This window comes from Homo sapiens, chromosome 15 (assembly GCF_000001405.40).
Source record: "Homo sapiens chromosome 15, GRCh38.p14 Primary Assembly".
Taxonomy (NCBI): domain Eukaryota; kingdom Metazoa; phylum Chordata; class Mammalia; order Primates; family Hominidae; genus Homo; species Homo sapiens.
The window spans coordinates 93,741,056-93,764,923 of NC_000015.10; the positions used below are offsets into that span (position 1 = coordinate 93,741,056).

The 23,868-nt window shown below is 38.4% G+C and overlaps 1 long non-coding RNA gene across 1 annotated transcript in view; it reads left to right on the forward strand.

Moving 5' to 3' along the window:
* LOC107983974 (uncharacterized) overlaps nt 1–19,847 on the forward strand; it is a 207,567-nt gene extending 187,720 nt beyond the window's left edge. Inside the window, exon 6 of the long non-coding RNA XR_001751681.2 lies at nt 19,612–19,847. This is a non-coding gene — a long non-coding RNA (uncharacterized LOC107983974). The remainder of the gene's footprint in view (nt 1–19,611) is intronic.
* The last annotated feature ends 4,021 nt before the right edge of the window (nt 19,848–23,868 follow it).

The following is a 23,868-nucleotide window of genomic DNA, read 5'->3' on the forward strand; positions in this document are numbered from 1 at the left end:
TTTGGGAGAGCAGCTGTACTGTTCTGAGGGATCCCTTCTGCCCTCACTTGGACTCTTCAAAGCCTGAAGGCCATAACAGCTAAGATGCCCCAACAGTAGAGATGGCAGCCTGCCTCTCCCGCTGGAGCTCCATCACAGGGAAGCACACTACTATCAACTGCTGGCTAGAATTCTAAGCCAGTGGGTCTTATCCTGTGAGGTGCTGTGGAAGTGGGGCCCGCAGACCGTCACTCCTGGGCCCCCTGGATTCAACCTCTTTCTAGGGGTATGTACAGGGGTCTAATCTTGCACTTTACTGGAGTCGCAGCTATTTTGCCAGGGCACCTGGAAATCTGGAGTATCTAAAGCTCCTGGGTCTCCTTGCATGTCTGAGCAGCTGCTCTGCTGAGACACCATGTAGCTCTCTGTGTGTCAGACTGAAGGCCTTGGTGGAGTGGGTTCACAAGGAGATCTCCTGCCCAAAGGGTTGCAAAAATCCGTGGCAGAAGCATGGGTTCCTGGGGTTGAACATTCACTCACCTCTTCTCTGGGCAGATGAGCTTCCTTTCACTCCATGTTGGTCCTGGGTGGGCCGTTATCCTGCCTTGCTTTCCCCTGTTCTCTGTGGGTGAAGTCGTTTCCTTCATTAGTCCCAATGTGAGTACATGGATGTTTCAGTGGAAGGTTCTGTATTTACTTTTCCCTTCTGCTCCTCTCCGTGAGAGTCACACACATTTGCTGCTTCCGGTCAGCCATCTTGGCCACTCTCCCTGATGCATTTTCTTAGTTTTTAATTTATCCCAGAATGTCTTTATTTGGTTTTAATATTTTAAAAATATTATTTTGCTGTAAATAATATTCTTGGTTGGGAGTTTTTCATTTTCTTGAGTACTTTGGCTATGTCATCTGTCTTTTGACCTGCATTGTTAAAGTCAGGTGTTCATCTTATTGGATGGAGTTGCCTTGTATATGAACTCCCTCGTTTGTGAACCTCATCATTTTTCTCTTGCTTTTTTCAAGATTTGTTCCTTGTCTTTGACTTTCAATACTTTTATAATGTGTCAGGGTGTAGATATTTTTACATTTATCTTAGAGTTTGAGCTTTTTGGATTTACAGAGTAATACTTTTTGAAGCAGATTTAGACATTTTCAGCCATTATCTTTTAAAATCTCTTTTCTGCTTTTTCCTTTCTTCCCCTCCTGCAACTCTCTTTACATGTACATTGGTGTGATTAATGCCATCCCATTTCTCTGATTCTCAGTTCATTTTTTATTCTTTGCATTTTTTTCAGATGGCATAATCTTTATAAATCTGTCTTCGAGTTTGCTTTTTCTTCATCAACTCAAGTAATATAACATTTATTATATCCATTTTGTACCTGAGGTTTTATTGATGTAGGCATCCTAGAGGAGCATTTTACCGACCCTCAAAAATAGCCTATAAATTGAACCAGGATTGAAGTCATAAATAAATAAATATGTAGAAAATTACTGAAGACATCTGTTGCTTCAGAAAATTTAGGGAGTAAATCAAGCATGTCGGGGAGAAATTGGTAAGTCCTTGATTATGATCATAAGGCTATTACACAGAAAATCACATTACCAGAACCTGGTTATGGTTCTGTGGAATTAAAATAAATTTTAGAAAGCATAAAGGTTTATATTTTTTAAAAAGTGAAGTGTTCTCAGGGGAATATCTACTACATGATACAATGATAATATTTAGTTACTATTTTCCGCATGTACCAAGTTTAACTTACCAATATTTTCCATGGAAGAATTAGATATTAGAGGAGCAGTTATATTTTAACAAGTCTTAAGTGAAAAGTGGGGCTGTATGAGATAACCCTTATCTCCTAAAAACAAGACCTTCGTTTCTGAACCAATACAAAGAATATTTGCCCTTTCAAAGCATCTACCCAGAAGCTAATCTTTAATTTCTGTCACCTATTATTTGGTTGTTTCAAATTGGATGATATTTAGATCTAAGGCAAGATAATCTGATATTTGACAGTGAATAAAGCAGTAGGGATTCTGTTGCTTTTTGGGGGACAGAGAAATATACTGGTATTCATATCCATAAAATAAAAAATACATATTTTTTGAGACAGAGTCTTGCTCTGTTACCCAGGCTGGAGTGCTGGAGTGCAGTGGCATGATCTCGGCTCCCTGCAGCCTCTGTCTCTTGGGTGCCAGTGATTCTCCTGCCTCAGCCTCCTGAGTAGCTGGGATTACAGGCAGGTGCCACCACGCCCTGCTAATTTTTGTATTTTTAGTAGAGACAGGGTTTCACCATGTTGGCCAGGCTGGTCTTGAACTCCTGACCTCAGGTGACACTCCTGCCTCAGCCTCCCAAAGTCCTAGGGTTACAGGCATGAGCCACTGTGCCCAGCACATATCCATAAAATATTGATGGAGAAAAAATTAGTGAATAATTTCTGGGTACCTAATCTGTTGTGGATTCTATGATTAGTGCTTTACTCATATTTGTTCCTGGTAACTGTCTCAATAAATCTGTGAAATATATATTACTAGGCCCACTTTTCAAAATTAAGAGAAACAAAACAAAAAGATTCCAGTAGATTCAGTAAAGTATCCTAAGAGTTCCTCTCTAATTTCTATTCACCATGTCCAATTCATTAACTTCCATTTCTTACCATAAGTCTTGCCTACCTGCCACAGGCAGTTTTCTATACATTGGCTAGAATGGTCCATTTTTAAAACATATTTTTGAATATGTCTTTGTGACTATCTTGCTTAAAATATTTTGGTGACTTATCATTGCTCTCAGAATAAAACAACAACTTATCAGAAGCCCTAGATGCAATGATGGTCTGGTAACTGCCCACTTTTGTGATCTCACCTCCTCCTACTTCTTAGCTCATTCACTATATATTACAGCCACATTGGTGCCCTATACAACTTTCAAACATGCTATGCTGGTTCTCACTTTTTCCCTCTGCTTTCCCCAGAATGTCTTTTCCAGATGGCCCCTATGTTGCTCCTTTTTATTATTTGGGCCTCAGTTCAAATATACTGGATCCTGAGGCAATGATTTCCTCTGTCCTAATTAACCATCCTCATCATTTAGAATATTTTTGCATTTTGATTGAATGGATGGATGTACAATGAATAGATGATTAAATCACAACGGTCATAAACAAAGATTAAATCACAAAGGTCATCATAAACAAAAAAGCTGGAAATCACACTCAATTATGTTTGATACCTAAGTCTATTTTATTTCTAATGCATTACATTTATCTGTGTGGCTTTTTCAAGTCAGGTTTATTAAGTCATAATTTATACAAGTAAAATTTGCCTTTTTAAAGTATACAGTTCATTGAGTTTTGAGAAATGTATATAGTTGTGCACTCATAATCACACTCAAGATACAGAATAGTCCCATCAAATTTCCCCCATACCCCTTTGAAATCAATTTACTGCCTCCACTCCAACTCTTGAAATGATTGAATCTCTGCCCTTATAGTTTTGCCTTTTCCAGAAGATCACATAAATAGAAGAACCATACAGAATATGGCCTTTTTATCTATTTTCTTTCATCTAGCAAAACATTTTAAGATTTAGCCATCTTGCTTGCATCAGTAATTTTCCCCTTTTCATTGCTAAAAGTCATATATAATTGTGTGAATATACCACAGTTTGTTTGAACCTTGGCAATTGATGAATATTTGCATTATTTTCAGTTTTTAGCTCTTACGATTAAAACTACTTTGAACATTCGTCAAATTTTTTTTCAGAGCAACTGTACTATTTCACATCTCGCCAGCAATATTTAAGGGTTCTTGTTGTTTTTCTTCACCAGTATTGATATTATGAATCTTTTTAATTTGAACCTTTCTAGTAGGTGTGATATTTCATCATCTTTTTTAATTTTCATTTCCCTTAATGTTGAGCATTTTTTACATGCTTGAGACTCATATGTATTTTTTGGTGAAAAGTCTTTTAATTTAAGGGATCTTTATCAGATATATGTTTTGCAAATATTTTCACCCAGTCTTTGTCTTGTCTTTCATTTTCTTAATGGTGCTATTCAAAGATCAGCATTCTTAAATTATGGTGAAGCCTAATTTCTCATAATTGTTTGGTCATCTACCAGGTTTCAGTGATTTCGGTTTCAGTGATTTATAATCCAAAATATTTATTGACCGCCTAGTAGTACTAAATCATATAATTCTTTTGATGTTCACTGAGCACATATCCTGCATTCAGTTCTGCCAGAAAGTTGAATTATGGTAGTCATTATGCATACGGAGAAAACAGGGAAGGCTTCAGAACATTTTTGATTTGCCCTGAATCCAAGTGGCAGTTGAAATTTGTAAACTCTCCAATAATTTACTGTTACCTATATTTTTTAAACCACTTTTTAGATATTAACACATTTAAATTAACAGTAAATACATTAAATGAAGGCAATTTACTAGAAAATTACCATTTGTTCAGGCTTCTTCCAATCTTCTAATCTTCTTTCTTTTAAGAATTTTTTTGGAAGGATCTTAGGATTTTGCTTAACTTCAGGTTGGACTGGACTAGTTTAGGGCTTTGGGTCATGGAAATTATGTCCGGGGTTAGAGAAGACTCAAGACTTATAAAACAAAAAAGCAAGCAAACAAAGTTACTGAGCGTGTGAAAGAAGGTAAAGAGCATAACTGGTCTTGGAAATAAGAGATAACGAAGTTTATTATACAAAACAAAATGAATAATTCAAGGGAAGGGACATAGAACGAATTCTTAAGACAGCAAACCTCAGGAGATTTATTTTTAATTGATTTAAAAGTTAATTGCTTTTTGAAGTAATAATAATGATGTATTTGGTGGATATAGAATATTGTGACAATAATTATAGCAGTGTCATAGGAGATAGTAAAGAAGAATCAAGAATACTTTGTTATAAAATATCTATACTATATGTTAAGTAATATAGTGTTATAAAATGTATAGTGTAACTACTAGGGTAACCACTATTTTTTAAGTGTAATAGATATGGAAAAGGAGAGATAAAATGGAATTATATTAAATGCTCAAGTAAAATCAGAGAAGGCAGTAAATCGGGGAAAAACAAAGAACAAATAATCACTAATAGAAAAGTGCCAAACGTGGTAGATATTAATGCAAATGTATCAATAATCACTTAAAATGTGAATCATCTAAAAGCACCAGACTCAGATTTTCAGAGTGAATAAAAAAATAAGATTCAGTTACATGTTGTGTACAAAAGAAACCCACTTTAACTATAAAGACACTGATGATATGTTCAAAGTAAAGGGGTGAGTGGCAGTTGCAGTCTGTGGCACTCATGAAGAGGAATGAGAGCAGTAAGTGAAAAGTGAATTTGGCACCTTCAACTGAAGTACTCAGGGTTTTTTTTTTTTTTTTTTCTTTTTTGATACAGAGTTTTGTTCTTCTTGCCCAGGCTGGAGTGCAATGCCATGATCTCCACTCACTGCAACCTCTGCTCCCACTGGGGCTAACTAGGCAGTGCTCCACCCAGGGAGAGCAAACAAAAGCAGGGTGGGGCAATGGCCTACACCTCGGAGCAACATGGAGCCAAAGGAACCCCCACCCCTAGCCAAGGGAGGCAGTGAGTGACTGTGATTCCCCCTGGGAAACCATGCTTCTCCCATGGATCTGGAGATCCTCTCCTGAGCCCACGCTACCTGGGCCTTGGGTCCTATGCACAGAGCTGTGAGCAGCCACTCAGGCACACACAGAGACCCAGGAGTTTTATATACTCTGGCCCCAGGATCCCCAGTGAGGTGGAAGATCCATCCATACATTTCCCTAGGAAGGGGGCTGAATCCAGGGAGCCAAGCAATGTCATTCTGCGGGCCCCACTTCCATGGTACCTTACAGGTTAGGACCCAGTGGCAGCAGGTTGAGTCTGCCTGAATTGGTGGGAGAGTTTCTGGAGGCAGGGGCAGCTGAAATTTCTGTGGTTTCATTGACTCAGTATACCAGCCTGCTGGTTCTGGGGAGTCCAGGCAGTCCAGAAAAGGAGGGTCCTCCCCCAACACAGAACACCTGCTTTGCCAGATTTGGCCCAGACTTATTTTTAAAGTGGGTCCCCAGACAATTCCTCCTCACTGGGTGGGGCCTCCCTGCAGGGGGCCTTCAGTCACTCCGGCCAGGCTTACATGGACAGAACTTGCCCTGGGAAGCAGCTCCTGGGGGAGGGATGGCTGCCATCTCTGTGGTTCAGTTGACTCGACTGTTCCAGCCTTCTGGCTCTGGAGAATCTGGGCTGTCCAGACAAGGAAGGGTTCCCCCAAATGCAGCACACATGTTCTACCAAAAAACAGCCAGACAGCTTCTGTAAGTGGGTCCCTGATCCCGTTCCTTCAGACTGGGTGACATATCCCAACAGGGGTGTTTCCAGACACCACCCAAAGGAGTGTTCAGACCAGCAACAGGTCAGTATCCACTGGAACAGAGCTTCCAGAGGAAGGAGTAGACTGTCATCTTTGCTGTTTCACAGCCTTCACTGGTGATACCTCCAGGTACGAGAAAAGCTGAGGCAACTGGGGTTTGGAGCAGACCCCCAGAAAACCATAGTAACCATATTGTTGCTAACAGTCAGTGGCCTGTTAAAAAACAAACATCAACAAAGAAGACCCTACAAAGACCCTATTCAAAGGTTAGCAACCTCAAAGATTGAAGGTAGATAAGATCACAAAGATTAGAAAAAAATCTATGCAAAAATGCTGAAAACTCAAAAAGCCAGAGTGCCTCGTCTCCTCTAAATGGCTGCAACACCTTTCCAGCAAGGGCACAGAACTGGGCTGAGACTGAGATGGCTGAATTGACAGAAATAGATTTCAGAATGTGGGTAATAATGAACTTGTATGTTGTAACCCAATGCATGTTGTAACCCAATACAAAGAAGCTAAGAATCATGATACAACAAACATTAGAGGAACTGATATGCCGAATAGCAAGTTTGGAGAGGAACATAACTGACCTGATGGAGCTGAAAAACACGACAAGAGAACTTCACAATGCAATCACAAAAGTATGAATTGAAGAATAGACTAAGTGAAGGAAAGAATCTCAGAGCTTGAAGACTATCTTAAACAAGACAGGCAGACAAGAATAGAGAAAAAAGAATAAATAATGATGAACAAAACCTCTGAGAAATATGGTATTATGTGAAAAGACCAAACCTATGACTGTTTGGGGTACCTGAAAGTGATGGAGAGAATGGAACCAAGCTGGAAAACATACTTCAGGATATCATCCAGGAGAACTTCCTTAACCTGGAAAGTCAGGCCAACATTCAAATTCAGGAAATTCAAAGAACCCCAGTAAGATACTCCATGAGAAGATGAGCCCCAGGACACAGAATCAACAGATTCTCCAAGGTCATAATGAAAGAAAAAAATGTTAAGGGAAGCTAGAGAGAAAGGCCAGGTCACCTACAAAGGGAAGCCCATCAGACTAATAGTGGACTTCTCAGTGGAAACCCTACAAGCCAGAAGAGATTGGGGATCAATATTTCACATTCTTAAAGAAAATAATTTTCAACCCAAAATTTTATATCTGGCCAAACTAAGCTTCATAAGCAAAGGAGAGATAAATCCTTTCCAGGCAAGCAAATGCTGAGGGAATTCAGGCATATCTTGCAAGGGCTTCTAAAGGAAGCACTAAATATGGAAAGGAAAAACCATTACCAGCCACTACAAAAACACACTGAATTACACAGACCAGTGACACTATGAAGCACCTACAAAAACAAGTCTGCAAAATAACCAGCTAGCACCATGATGACAGGATCAAATACACACATAACAATATTAACCTTAAATGTAAATGGGATAAAGACCTCAATTAAAAGACACAGAATGGCAAGCTGGATAAAGAGTAAAGACCCATCAGTGTGCTGTATTCAAGAGACCTCTCTCACATGTGAAGACACACATAGGCTGAAAATAAAGGGATGGAAGAAAATTACCAAGCAAGTGGAAAACAGGGATTGCAATTCTGGTTTCTGATAAAACAAAGTTTAAGCCAACAAAGATTTAAAAAGACAAGGGCATTACATAATGGTAAAAGTTCAATTCAACAAGAACAGCTAACTGTCTGAACTAAACATGCACCCAATACAGGAGCAGCCAGATTCATAAAGCAAGTTCTTAGAGACCTACAAAGAGCCTTAGACTCCCACATAGTAATAATGGGAAACTTCGATCACCCAACTGACCATATTAGATCATTGGAGACAGAAAATTAGCAAAGACATTCAGGACCTGAACTCAGCTCTGGATTGAGTGGACCTGACAGATACCTACAGAACTCTTCACCCAGAAACAACAGAATACACATTCTTCTCATTCCACATGGCACTTACTCTAAAATTGATCACATAATCAGAAGTAAAACATTCTCAGCAAGTGTAAAAGAACTGAAGTCATAACTGACAGTCTCTAAGAACACAGAGCAATCAAATTATAACTCAAGATAAATTCATTCAAAACCACACAACTGCATGCAAATTGAACAACCTTCTACTGAATGAATTCTGGGCAAATAATGAAATTCAGGTAGAAATCAAGAAGTTATTTGAAACTAATAGGAACCAAAAGACAATGTAACAGAATCTCTTTGATTATAAAGTGGTTTTGAGAAGGAAATTTATAGCACTACATGCCCACATCAAAAATCTAGAAAGATCTCAAGTTAACAACCTAACGTCACAACTAAAAGAACTAGAGAACCAAGAGCAAACAAAAACCAAAGCTAGCAGAAGACAAGAAATAACCAAGATTAGAACTGAATTGAAGGAGATAGAGACACAAAAAACCCTTCAAAAAAATCAAAGAATCCAGGGGTTGGTTTATAAAAAAAATACATAAATTAGATAGACTGCTAGCTTAGACTAATAAAGAAGAAATGAGAGAAGACTGAAATAAACACAATCAGAAATGATAAGGGCGATATCACCACTGACCCCGCAGAAATAAACCAACCATCGGAGAATACTACAAACACATCTATGAACATAAACTAAAAAATGTAGACTAAATGGATAAATTCTTGGACACATACACTGTCCCAAGACTGAACCAGGAAGAAACCAAATAGACCAATAATGAGTTCTAAAATATAGGCAGTGATAAACAGCCCACCAACCAAAAAAAAGCCCAGGACCAAATGGATGCACAGCTGAATTCTACCAGAGGTACAAAGAATAGCTGGTACCATTTCTACTGAATTTATTCCAAATAACTGAGAAGGAAGGACTCCTCCCTAACTCATTCTATGAGGCCAGCATCATCTTGATACCAAAACCTGGCAGAGATACAACAACAGAAAACTTTAAGCCAATATCCCTGATGAAAATTGAACCAAAAATTCTCAGTAAAATACTGGCAAACTGAATGCAGCAGCACATCAAAAAGTTTATCTAACATGATCAAGTTGACTTCATTTTCAGGATGCAAAGTTGATTCAACATATGCAAATCAATAAATTTTATTCATCTCATAAATAGAACTAAAGATAAAAACCACATGATTATCTCAATAGATGCAGAAAAGGCCTTCGATAAAATTCAACATCTCTTCATGTTAAAAACTCTCAATGAACTAGGTATGGAGGACACATACCTCAAAATAATAAGAGCCATATATGGCAAACCCATAGCCAGTATCATACTGAATGGGCCAAAGCTGGAAGCATTCCCCCTTGAAAACTGGCACAAGACAAGGATGCCCTCTCTCACCACTCCTATTAAACACAGTATTGGAAGTTCTGGGCAGGACAACCAGGTAAGAGAAAGAAATAAAAGGCATCCAGATAGGAAGAGAGAAAGTCAAAATATCCCTGTTTGCAGATGACATGATCCTATATCTAGAAAACTCCATCATCTCTGCCCAAAAGCTTCTTAAGCTGATAAGCAACCTCAGCAAAGTGTCAGCATAAAAAATCAATGTGCAAAAATTGCCAGCATTTCTATATACCTAAAACAGGCAAGTAGAAATCCAAATCATGAATGAAGTCCAATTCACAATTGCTTCAAAGAGAATAAAATACTTAGGAATACAACTAACAAGGGAAGTGAAGGACATCTTTAAGGGAAACTACAAAACACTGCTCAAAGAAATCAGTGATGACACAAATGGAAAAATATTACATGCTTATGGATAGGAAGAATCAATATTGTGACAATAGCCATATTGCCTAAAGCAATTTATCGGTTCAATGCTATTATACTACCACTGACATACTTTCTAATACTACACATAATTAGAAAAAAAAATTTTAAATTCGTATGAAACTTAAAAAGAGCCCTAATAGCCAAGGGAATCCTAAGTAAAAAGGACAAACCTGGAGATAGGCTACCTGACTTTAAACTATACTAAAAGACTACAGTAACTAAAACAGCATGTACTGGTACAAGAACAGACACATAGAACAATGAAACAGAATAGAGAACTCAGAAGTAACCACTCACACCTGTAACCATCTGGTCTTTGACAAACCTGACCAAAAAAAGCAATGGCAAAAGGATTCCCTATTTAATAAATGGTTATGCGATATCTGGCAAGCCATATGCAGAAGATTAAAACTAGACCCCTTCCTTACACCATATACAAAAATTACCTCAAGATGGATTAAAGACAAATGTGAAACCCCAAACTATAAAAACCCTAGAAGAAAATCTTGGCAATATGATTCAGAACATAGATACAGGCAAAAATTTCATGACAAAAATGACAAAAGCAGTTGCAACAAAAGGAAAAATTGACAATTGGGATCTAATTAAAGAGCTTCTGCACAGAAAAAGAAACTGTCATAAGAATGAACCGATAACCTACAGAATAGGAGACTTTTTTTTTTTGCAATCTATCTATCTGAGAAAGGTCTGATACTGAGAGTCTACAAGGAACTTAAACAAATTGACAGGAACAAAACAAACAACCCCATTAAAAAGTGGGCAAAGGATGTGAACAGATACTTCTCAAAAGACGACATACTTGTGGACAACAAATATATGAAAAAAGCTCAACATCACTGATCATTAAAAAAATGCACATCAAAACCACAATGAGATACCATCTTATGCTAGTCAGAATGGCAGTTACTAAAAAGTCAAAAAACAGCAGATGCTTGTGATGTTGCAGAGAAAAAGGAAGGCTATTACACTGTTGGTGGGAGTTCAACCCACTGTGGAAGACAGTGTGGCAACTCCTCAAAGATCTGGAGGTGGAAATACCATTTGACCCAGCAATCCCATTACTGGGTATATACCCAAAGGAATATAAATCATTTTATTATAAAGATGCATGCATATGTTCATTACAGCACTGTTCATGATAGCAAAGACTTAGAATCAACCCAAATGTCCATCAGTGATAGACTGGATAAAGAAAATGTACATTTACACCATGGAATACTATGCAGCCATAAAATAGAATGAGATCATGTCCTTTGCAGGGACATGGATGGAGCTTTCAGATGCCACTATCCTCAGCAAACTAATGCAGGAACAGAAAACCAAAAACTGCATGTTCTCACTTATAAATGGGAGCTCAATGATGGGAACATGTGGACACACTGGGGGAAGGGGGGACGTGGGGAACAACACATACTGGGGCTTGTCATGGGGCCAGGGAGGCAGAGCATTAGGAAGAATAGTTTATAGATGCTGGGCTTAATACATAGGTGATGGGATAATCCGTGCAGCAAACCATCATGGCACACATTTACCTATGTAACAAACCTGCACATCCTGCACATGTACTCTTGAACTTAAAAGTTGAAGATTAAAAAAAAAGGGGTGTAGAAAGATATATCATGGTAAAGATACATGATGCTGGCTGGGCGTGGTGGCTAACGCCTGTAATCCCAGCACTTTGGGAGGCTGAGGTGGGCGGATCACGAGGTCAGTGATCGAGACCATCCTGGCTAACACGGTGAAACCCTGTCTCTACTGAAAACACAAAAAAACTTATACATAATATATAAATTATATATAATATAAATTATATATATAAATTACGTATATAAATTATGTTATATATGTTACATATATAAATTATGTTATATATGTAACATATATAACATATGTAAATTTTATATATATATATATATATACACACACACACCATGCTAAAACTAAGTTTAAAAAAAAGCCAGAGTAGCTGTGTTAATTTCAGACAAAGCAAACTTCTGAACCAGAAAAATTAACAGAAATAAAGAGGGGCATTGCATAATGATAAAGGGACTAACTTTCCAAGAACGGGAAATAGTTCTAAACATGTATGCATCTAACAACAGAGAATCTAAATATATAAGGCAAAAACTGAGATTGGTGAGGAGTAACAGAAAAATTTCTTATTATAGCTGGAGATTTCATAACTCCTTTTTCAGTAACTGATAGCTCAAGCAGTCAGAAAAACAGTAAGGATATAGTTAACCTGAACAGTGCTATTATACAACTTTATCAAATTGACATGTATAGACTATTCCATCTGACAACAAAATACATATTCTTCTCAAGCTTTCATGGAACCTTCACCCAGTAGACCCAATCTAGGCATAAAGCACACAAAGTATTTTAAAAGTAGAAATGATACCAAATTCTCAGAAAATAATGAAATTAATCTATAAATTAATACCACAAATTATCATTTATTAGGGAATTGCAAGTTAAAACAATAGTAACTTATTTACTATATATCTATTATTAATAGACTGGCTAACATAGAAAAAACTGATAAAGCCAAATAAGGTAGAGGACACAAAGCAAAAGGAAGTATTAATTGCTGCTAGGAGTGCAAAATGGCATAGCCATTTTGAAAGACAGTTTGGTTTGTAGTTCTCCTTGAAGAGGTCCTTCACATCCCTTGTAAGTTGGATTCCTAGGTATTTTATTCTCTTTGAAGCAATTGTGAATGGGAGTTCACTCATGATTTGGCTCTCTGTTTGTCTGTTATTGGTGTATAAGGATGCTTGTGATTTTTGCACATTGATTTTGTATCCTGAGACTTTGCTGAAGTTGCCTATCAGCTTAAGGAGATTTTGGGGCTGAGATGATGGGGTTTTCTAGATATACAATCATGTTATCTGCAAATGGACAATTTGACTTCCTCTTTTCCTAATTGAATACCCTTTATTTCCTTCTCTTGCCTGATTGCCCTGGCCAGAACTTCCAACACTATGTTGAATAGGAGTGGTGAGCGAGGGCATCCCTATCTTGTGCCAGTTTTCAAAGGGAATGCTTCCAGTTTTTGCCCATTCAGTATGATATTGGCTGTGGGTTTGTCATAGATAGCTCTTATTATTTTGAGATACGACCCATCAATACATAGTTTATTGAGAGTTTTTAGCATGAAGGGTTGTTGAATTTTGTCAAAGGCCTTTTCTGCATCTATTGAGATAATCATATGGTTTTTGTCTTTGGTTCTGTTTATATGCTGGATTACATTTATTGATTTGCATATGTTGAACCAGCCTTGCATCCCAGGGATAAAGCCCACTTGATCATGGTGGATAAGCTTTTTGATGTGCTGCTGGATTCGGTTTGCCAGTATTTTACTGAGGATTTTTGCATTGCTGTTCATCAGGGATATTGGTCTAAAATTCTCTTTTTTGTTGAGTCTCTGCCAGGCTTTGGTATCACGATGATGCTGGTCTCATAAAATGAGTTAGGGAGGATTCCCTCTTTCTCTATTGATTGGAATAGTTTCAGAAGGAATGGTACCAACTCCTCCTTGTACCTCTGGTAGAATTCGGCTGTGAATCCATCTGGTCCTGGACTTTTTTTGGTTGGTAAGCTATTGAATATTGCCTCAATTTCAGCTCCTGTTATTGGTCTATTCAGAGATTCAACTTCTTCCTGGTTTAGTCTTGGGAGGGTGTATGTGTCGAGGAATTTATCCATTTCTTCTAGATTTTCCAGTTTATTTGCCTAGAGGTGTTTATAGTATTCTCTGATGGTAGTTTGTATTTCTGTGGGATTGGTGGTGATATCCCCTTTATCATTTTTTATTGCATCTATTTGATTCTTCTCTATTTTCTTCTTTATTAGTCTTGCTAGCAGGACCTCTTCAAGGAGAACTACAAACCACTGCTCAGTGAAATAAAAGAGGATACAAACAAATGGAAGAACATTCCATGCTCATGGGTAGGAAGAATCAATATCATGAAATTGGCCATACTGCCCAAGGTAATTTATAGATTCAATGCCACCCCCAGCAAGCTGCCAATGACTTTCTTCACAGAATTGGAAAAAACTACTTTAAAGTTCATATGGAATCAAAAAACAGCCTGCATTGCCAAGTCAATCCTAAGCCAAAAGAACAAAGCTGGAGGCATCACTCTACCTGATTTCAAACTCTACTACAAGGCTACAGTAACCAAAACAGCATGGTACTGGTACCAAAATAGAGATATAGACCAATGGAACAGAACAGAGCCCTCAGAAATAATGCCACATATCTACAACCATCTGATCTTTGACAAACGTGACAAAAACAAGCAATGGGGAAAGGATTCCCTATTTAATAAATGGTGCTGGGAAAACTGACTAGCCATATGTAGAAAGCTGAAACTGGTTCCCTTCCTTACACACTATACAAAAATCGATTCAAGATGGATTAAAGACTTAAATGTTAGACCTAAAACCATAAAAACCCTAGAAGAAAACCTAGGCATACCATTCAGGACATAGGCATGGACAAGGACTTCATGTCTAAAACACCAAAAGCAATGGCAACAAAAGCCAAAATTGACAAATGGGATCTAATTAAACTAAAGAGCTTCTGCACAGCAAAAGCAACTACCAACAGAGTGAACAGGCAACCTACAGAATGGGAGAAAATTTTTGCAATCTACTCAGCTGACAAAGGGCTAATATTCAGAATCTACAATGAACTCAAACAAATTTACAAGAAAAAAACAAACCCATCAAAAAGTGGGTGAAGGATATGAACAGACACAAAAGAAGACATTTATGCAGCCAATAGACACATGAAAAAATGCTCATCATTACTGGCCATCAGAGAAATGCAAATCAAAACCACAATGAGATACCATCTCACACCAGTTAGAATGGGAATCATTAAAAAGTCAGGAAACAACAGGTGCTGGAGAGGATGTGGAGAAATAGGTACACTTACACTGTTGGTGAGACTGTAAACTAGTTCAACAATTGTGGAAGTCAGTGTGGTGATTCCTCAGGGATCTAGAACCAGAAATACCATTTGACCCAGCAATCCCATTACTGGGTATATACCCAAAGGATTATCAATCATACTGCTATAAAGACACATGCACACGTATGTTTACTGTGGCACTATTCACAATAGCGAAGACCTGGAACCAACCCAAATGTCCAACAATGATAGATTGGATTAAGAAAATGTGGCACATATATACCATGGAATACTATGCAGCCATAAAAAATGATGAGTTCATGTCCTTTGTAGGGACATGGATGAAGCTAGAAACCATCATTCGCAGCAAACTATCTCAAGGACAAAAAACCAAACACCGCATGTTCTCATTCATAGGTGAGGATTGAACAATGAGAACACATGGACATAGGAAGGGGAACATCACACACCGGGGCCTGTTGTGGGGGTAGAAGGACGGGGGAGGGATAGCATTTGGAGATATACCTAATGTTAAATGACGAGTTACTGGGTGCAGCACACCAACATGGCACATGTATACATATGTAACTAACCTGCACATTGTGCACATGTACCCTAAAAATTAAAGTGTAATAAAAAAAAAAGAAAAAAAAGACAGTTTGGCATTTTCTCATAATGTGAGTCATTACTGTAGTATACAATCTAGTGTCTCACTCGTTGGTATTTACCCAACTGACTAGAAAACATATGCTCATACAGAAACCTGTATATAAATATGTATAGAAACATTATTCATGTGCCCCAAACTGGAAACAACCAAAGTATCTTTAATATAATAGATGAATGAACAAACTGAAATACCTGTAGAATGTAGTAGCATTCAGTAATTTAAAAAAATAAGCAATCATTCCCCAAAAAGCCACATGGAGGAAACTTAAATGCACATTGCTAAGTGAAAGAAGCCAATTTGAAAAGGCTGCATGTTCCATGGTTTCAATTATTTGGCAATCTGGAAAAGGCAAAATTTCAGTGTGCTGAGGTTGTCTGCCAGCTCCATCCACGTTCCTGCAGTTACAAGATCAGTGGTTTTCTCAGTTCAGCAGTGCATGGTCTAGTGTTGAATAGGTGAAGCACAAGAGATTTTGTAGAGTGATAAAGCCACCAATACTTCTGTCAAAATCCACAGAAATTTATAGTACAAGAAGTGAAACTTTATATACGCAGCATAAAAATAAATCATGTAGAAGGCCCAGGGATCCCAGGATTAAATTCAGAAAGTAACATAAGAATCTAACTGTATTACAAGTGTAATCAACAACCTCACTGAGATAAACATCAGTGAGGCTGGAGAAACAATATCCCTGGGGGTAGTGGGAGAACAGGTGCTGACCGAAATAACTTTGAAAATGAGTGAAACCTGTAAGAGTAAAGGCAAATGAAACTGTGCATAAGCACTGTACTCTAGTTGATAAATTGTTTTCCATAGGGATAGATGTTAACAATTTTGATACTGGTATATAAATGTATCCTAGGATTGAACATTTCAGTAAATGGGTTGTAGATGGTAGGAGCTGGGTTTCTCACCATTCCACTGACAGTTTACCAATAAGCAAAAGAAGCAGGCTAGAATGAACTGTGTTAGAATTAGAATTGGAGCATTCAGTATGAACTCATGTTTAGCTTAACAGAGATACAGTGGTTATGGAAATATGTATATATATATATATATATATATATATATATATATATATATATATATGCATATATGCACCACTTATTATACACCTAATACTCTGATCTTGGTTTATAATACTATTCTCCAGTGAAAGGACCAGTGATTCTTCCAGACATAGCAAATTCATGTACTAAGACATATACTAATATACTACATGTACATGTACTACATGTACATGTAGTATATTATACTAATGTATATTATACTATATTATACTATATGCTATAGTATATTATACTACTATACTACATGTACAATATACATGTACATGTACTGATATACTACATGTACAATATACTACATGTACATGTACTAATATACTACTTAGTGCATGTACTAAGACATGTACTAATATATTGTACATATATATTATATAATTATATATTAGTACCTATAATAAGACATGTACTAATATAATACAAGATGAGTCTAGAACATCTAGTAGGGACAGAAACAAAGAAGGAGGAGGAAGGAGAAGGAAGAAGGAAGGAGATGGAGAAGGACCAGGAGAAGGAGAAGAAGAAACATAATTTTGGGGGTATGTAAAAAAAGACTTTTGTAAGTCAACTGAATGAGCTCCCCACGGCAAAATCTGGACTGGTTTGAGCAACAAAATAAAGTGGTATTGAAATATAGCCCAGAGTATAAGAAAAATTCATACCTTATACTAATATAAATAAATGGGTAAAAGTAGGTACATTTCCTATGTAGAAGAATTGCACACAGGGCTTTATATCTGTGTTTACAGAATTTTCTGTAAGTCTGTGAATGTCTGTAGAACAGGAACAGTGTTTTATTGTTCAGAGATCAATTGTGTGACTTGGGCTGAACAAATACCTGGCAATTGGTAGGTGCCCAGAAAATATGTGTTCAGCCCAAGTCACACAATTTATACTTGAGATTTTTTTTTTTTTAGTTTTTACCTAATGTCCTTTTTAATGTTCACATTGAAATTAAGGAAAATAACTATCCTCTTAAAATAGCCCAAAATGCTTTAGCTTTTCTCATAGTTAATATTTTTTCTAATCATAAATACCATGATCTCCACAGGCTCCATGGAAAGGTATCAAAAATAGCAAGCATCTTGCTAGAATGTAACACGTGACTTAACCTCCTGTGCATGCTTTTAATCTTCATCTTTTCTCCAGCTGTGTCAGTATCGTATTTATCAAGATTCCCAAACATGCAATTTGAGGGCTGTGTTTGATTACATTTGGGTTTTCTAGGCACATTAACATGGTGGTTATTTGGAAAGACTGACTGTGCAGGGGAAAAAGAGCACTGGTCTATGAGTCTGGAATTAAAATTCTCTTCCTGACTTTGTTCCTAAGCTAGCCTTGGGACCTTGGTGAGTTGCCGCACCTGTCACAGTCTGGGTTTCCTCATTTGCAGGGACAATAAGGGCTAAATGATCTCTGAGTTTCTGATCTCTGAGTTTCCTTCTTCCTTTACAGTTGATGGTAGAATGTGGGCTCATTTCTGCAATCCAGTTGAGTTCTCAAACTAGTAAGTTTGTGAATAAGACTGCAGTTTGCAATTCGGGCTTCTCAATCCAGGGAAGGAAGTCTCTCTTGGTTTGGGTACGGTGAGAGGCATGAAATTTTCTCTAGAGATGTTTTCCCTTTGGTTTTAGAATGTTGGGTGGTATGTCTTGCCCATCAAAAAGGAGAGAATAGGATGAATGATAATTTGTTAGTTGGGAACAGCTTCCCACAAGAAATGAAAGAGAACTAAAAGGCAGAATAAATGACTAACCTTTGCCTTGCCCCTCAGAAAAGCTGGTGAAATTTAGAAATATAGTCATGTTTCTATTCACTCAGGCTCTCTACCTGAACCAACAACCATTCGTGAAACTTTCCACATTAAACTTTCAGTTCCAGTAAAGTTCATAGCAGTCTTTAAAACTGCACCCGGAGGTGACAACATAACATTCCTTTGGGTCTGATGCATAGAGGCTTAGAGTGTGAGGGCTGAAAAGGGTTTTTGAGGGCAAAGGGACATATAAGTGTGTTTTACCATGCGCATAACACTTAACTAACATGAATGATCCTGGCTGGATGCTTTTTATGTATTATTTCTAATCCTTCTCAGAATCCAGCAAAACAGGTGGTTCACAGAGGAGGAAACTGAGGCTAAAGCAGGGTAAATAACTTATCCAGTTTTACTTGACTCCAAGAGGCTGGTTTGAGTTTTTAACTCAAGTCTGTCTCACTCAGCTTCCTCAACTGTGTTCTCACATTATTAACTCCTAGTCTTGCTTCAATCCTGCCTCTGGGAAGCCTTCTTTGACCCTCCAGAGAATATAAATTACAGGAATTCCCCTTTCTGTAATTGTTTTGTGGTGTGGTTCACACAGGGTTTTATAACTGTGTTCACATAATTTTCTCTTCTACAAGTCTGTGAATGTCTGTTAAACAGGGACAGTGTTTTATTGGTCTCTGAATCCTAATACCTGGCAATTGGTAGGTGCCCAGAAAGTATTTGTTCAGCCCAAGTCACACAATTCATTGGATACAGAGCCAGAACTAAATCCAGACCTCTTGACTCCTGGTCCAGAATTCTTTCGCCACCACATTATTACTTTTAGGTTTTTAATCGCATGCAACTTCCAGCTTATTCTCCCCATAAAACCTCCTTGTTCCCTCACCCCAAACCCTGCACATGATTTCTGTGAGCAGTGGAAATGTTTTCATCACAAGTATGAAGGCTTGCACTTAATATGGACTTACTGTGGACTCAGCGCAGGCTCACTATGTGAATCCTCTTCTTTTCTCCTGACAGTGCTCCCAGGTGAATGCTGCTATCAACCCCATTTTACAACGTGGAAACTGAAGAATTGAGATAGTAACTGCACCAAGATCTCACAACTGGGGTAAAAATCCATGCAGCATGGCCCTAGATGAACATAATCTGAAAGACTGGGCTCCACGCCTCAAGGTTGGGACAGAGAGCGAGTCTCCTTGCTCAGGTTTTATCTCTTGTTAGTTAGATGCCAAATACATTTTTTTAAAATAAAACAGCTGAGATGTCTTGATCCTTAAGGAACATAACACCAGGTTCCAAGGGTGATTTAATTGAAGTCACCCACTCCTTTTGATCCCTGCAAACTTTTACCGAGAGCTTTGAAACAGGTTGCTGAGCACTTCCCATATTGAATCTGTGCATACTCTGGTTTCTTACAAGGTCACGTGAAGGATAAGATTCAGAGCATTCCAGGGAGATTACGCTCCAACTGCAGAAACCTGAAAAAGCAATTGATAAAGGCTTAGCTGCATTACTCTGAAGACTTTGGTATTGTGGGGTAATCATACATAGCAGCTCTCACAGGGTTCTGAGGCTTATCTCATTTTATGTGCCCTTTTTTCCTTGGAGAGTCTAAATCTCTCCTGGAGATTAAAATGTAATGACACAATGATTTGAGACAGAAAAGCATCAAAAATCATACTTTGAGGCATTATAGGATATATGTAACATTATGCACAAACACGAAAGGGGATTTGAATTCAGCAAAGAACTCCAGGTGTATCATATGTTTCTATTTGTGTACAATTTTAAATTTTTAAAGAATAAGACCATAGTGGGGCAGGGTGAGGAAGGGTCCATGGAGCCTCTCCAGGCTCTTCTTCCTTCATGGGAGAAGCTTCCCTCAAAGGAGGAGCTGCAAGAGATGAAAAGGAAGAGGCCTGGAGAGCTCACACGAGGTCTCCAAGCAATTGAGCCTCCCTGGAGCTGTAAAGCAGGAAACTCAGCTTCTGGGTGAGGCCCTGATCCTTTAAAAGCCCAGATGCCAACTCCACAGGGGCAGACCCATCTCTCAGCTGATTGACCTAGCACTGGACGACATTCCTCATATTTACTTGTTTATTTTCTCTCTCACCTGTAATCTCCATAAAGCAAGTTTCATGAGGCAAGGAACAGATATCTCTAGGTCAATGCTGTATTCCTAGTTTTAGAACAATGCCAGGCTGGAAAGGAAGGAAGGAAGGAAGAACAGGAGAGATGGTGGAGAGAGAGGTAGGTTGGTTTATAGTAAATACCATAATGCGTATTTATGTGCATACACATGCACATGTATGTACACAGAGATACATATATACTTACGTAGGAAGCTGTATATTTTGATGAGAAAAGTGTAAATATAAAACATTTAATTGAGTAGTTTTCAATAAATGTTTCAGAGTTTGTATTATGGCCCCTAAGCTAATGTATTTGGAGTGGAGTTTGTAGCACAGCGCACGTTTTTACCCAACAGATTTGTTATTAGGAGAACTCACATAACTCAGAGACGATGCACACCAGGCAACAGAAGAAAGCAGCCTAAATGGAAGGAGGCTGAGTGAGCAACAGGCCATCTGCTGTTGCAGCTGCTTTTCCTCTCACACATGGGAATAGCATCACATTTCTTTGGAAAAAACACCTTTCTTATGGCTTCAGGCTGTGATTTGGGGATGGCTGTCCTCAAACTACAGGCTCATGGGTAGTTGCAGGTCTAAGGTTTGGCCCATGGTTACTCAGGCTCAGTCAAGGGTGCATGTGATCCAGCCTTCCCAGTGACCATCAGCCCCTAATCTCTGGCTCCCTGATGGCTGGATTATAGACCAGGGGCTTTTGATGTCCTTCTCTCCCAACTGGGGAAGAAGTCTCTTGAGAATAAAGCCAACATCGGGGAAATAGAGCTGTGGGCTGGTGGGAAACAGCCATCCAATGACATGGAGAGAACACCCAGCCCCAGCCTAGGAAGCCCTACTTCTGCCCCCTGGGTCAGGGGTTTAAGGAGTTGTGGATGCATTGTAGTTTCTTGCAACCAAAAGAGTGCTAAGGACAACCCTGTTCACACACGTGCTTTGGAAGAAAAAGGGAAGATGTTTTCCATGCATAATAACTGCAGTGGCTATGCATTCTTATCCTGAACTTAATCTTTTTGTCCTATAGTTCCCAGAAGTGCACTTGTCTACCCAAGTGTTCTGAATTTCATTTCATAACATGCAATCACAGGACACACATTTATATCCAAACTCCATCACATTTGTTCTTGCTCAGAAATATAATTGGGGATGAAGATGGTGACAGTCATCTTCAGAGGTTCTGTTCTGATTAGGTAAGAACAGAGCATTCTAAAGATGGCCTAACCCAGACCACAACTTTGCACAGCAATTTATCCCATTGCTCCTACATTTTTAAATTTATTTTTGGGTAACATTATTAGCTACATTTGATTAGAACTGATATTATAACTGTCTTAGTCTGTTTGGACTGCCATAACGAAACAGCGTAGACTGAGAGGCTTAAACAACAGAGATTTATTTCTCAGTTCTAGAGGCTGCGAAGTCCAAGATCAAGGTGCCAGCCAATTCATTTCTTGGTGAGGGTCCTCTTACTGGCTTGCAGGTTTCTCTCTAGATCTTCACATGGCTTTTCTTAGGTGTTTGCACATGGAGAGAGAGCTCTCTCTCTTCTCCTTATAAGGGCACTAATTCCATCACGAGGATCCCACCCTGATGACTTAATGTTACCATAATTACCTGCCAAAAGCCTCATCTCCAGATATAATTATATTGGAAGTTACAGGTTCAACATACACATTTTAGGGAGGGACACAGACATATAATGATACGAGTTTTCTTTGCAAAAGTGACCATGTGATCATTTGCAATTCTGCTAAAAAGACAGATCCTGGGACTAGTTGCAGATATAATGCACAAAATTTCTGACTGTTTTAATGATTTAATAAGCCAGTTGCTAATAGGTAAACATACATGATACTTACATTGACTGAGGCAATCATGAGTATATTCCCATAATCAGGGGATTCTCATTTAGATGTCATACAGTTTTATTTGCCTCACAAAATTTCAAGTCAATATTCTGCTGTGCTTTCTACTTTGAAAAATGTCATATTACAGCCGGTTGGTTGAGAAATATTTTCAAGGGCCTGTGAAAAGCAAGGTGGGAAAATAATGGATTGTAAATGTGTGGGCCTCTCCACCATGCCCTCTCTGGTCTTGTAGCACTTTAAGGGTGGTGGGTGCCATCTTGGGGTGATACGTTATTTCCAATGTGTCCATTCAGTGTTGTTCAACCATCTTGAGGCCTCAGGCTGGGAGCACACCATCGCACAGTGAAAACGCTCGCCTTTGTTGTAACCCTTTGGGAATTTGTATTGATTGAACAGCATATTTGGGAGAGAGAAAAGCAGATTACACAGTGGTTTGTCATGCTTGATTTACTTGAAAAGTGAGAAAAATGCTGACCTGGGAGACTGGTGACCCTTGAAACTAAATACATGTGTGTGTCAGATACACTGTGAGCTGCACATTGCACTGGGGATTCAACACATCTGGTTGTGAGAATGGCACTCAGGATGACCCAGCTGTGAAGAGGCGGTAAAAAACATAATTGAGCTTGTTTATAAATATTGCTTGCTAACGCAGCTCTTGGCAATACTGGAGATGACATTCTCCCTTAAAGTCTGCCTCCTCTTCATATTTCTTCTTTCTTGTTTTGGCAACTATTGAAATTGAGGTACATGTTCTTAGATTAATGTCAGCCAGCAGTATTCAATATGATTTCTCTTCTCTGAGAAGATACTGTTTTAGGAAAACTGTGGCTTCCGAGCTCATAGCCTAATCTGAATTTCCCTATGTTGAGGAAAAAGACTTAAGGCAAGACCAGTGAAACAAAGAATTACAGATTTGAATGGCAGATTAAGCCTCTTGTAATTTTCATTCTCCAAAATAAAAACATTGCTTATACCATCTATTTTCTATATGTGTTTCTGCTTTTGAAAATATTTCTGTGGTAGATCTCCTGCAATGCCACTGGTGAAAACAAACCACCAACTATTTGGGGGAACTTTTGTTGACATGAGGCCAATTATAATAATTCTGTGAGGGGTGACATGATGGAGAAGACAGACCAAGGACTCTCTAATTGAGCGTGCCTCTGCACCCCAGTTCTGCCACTTCTGGTGTCACATTGACAAGTTGGATAGCAGTGATAAGCTTCAGCTTTTTCAGCTGTAAAATGGTGCAGCAATAC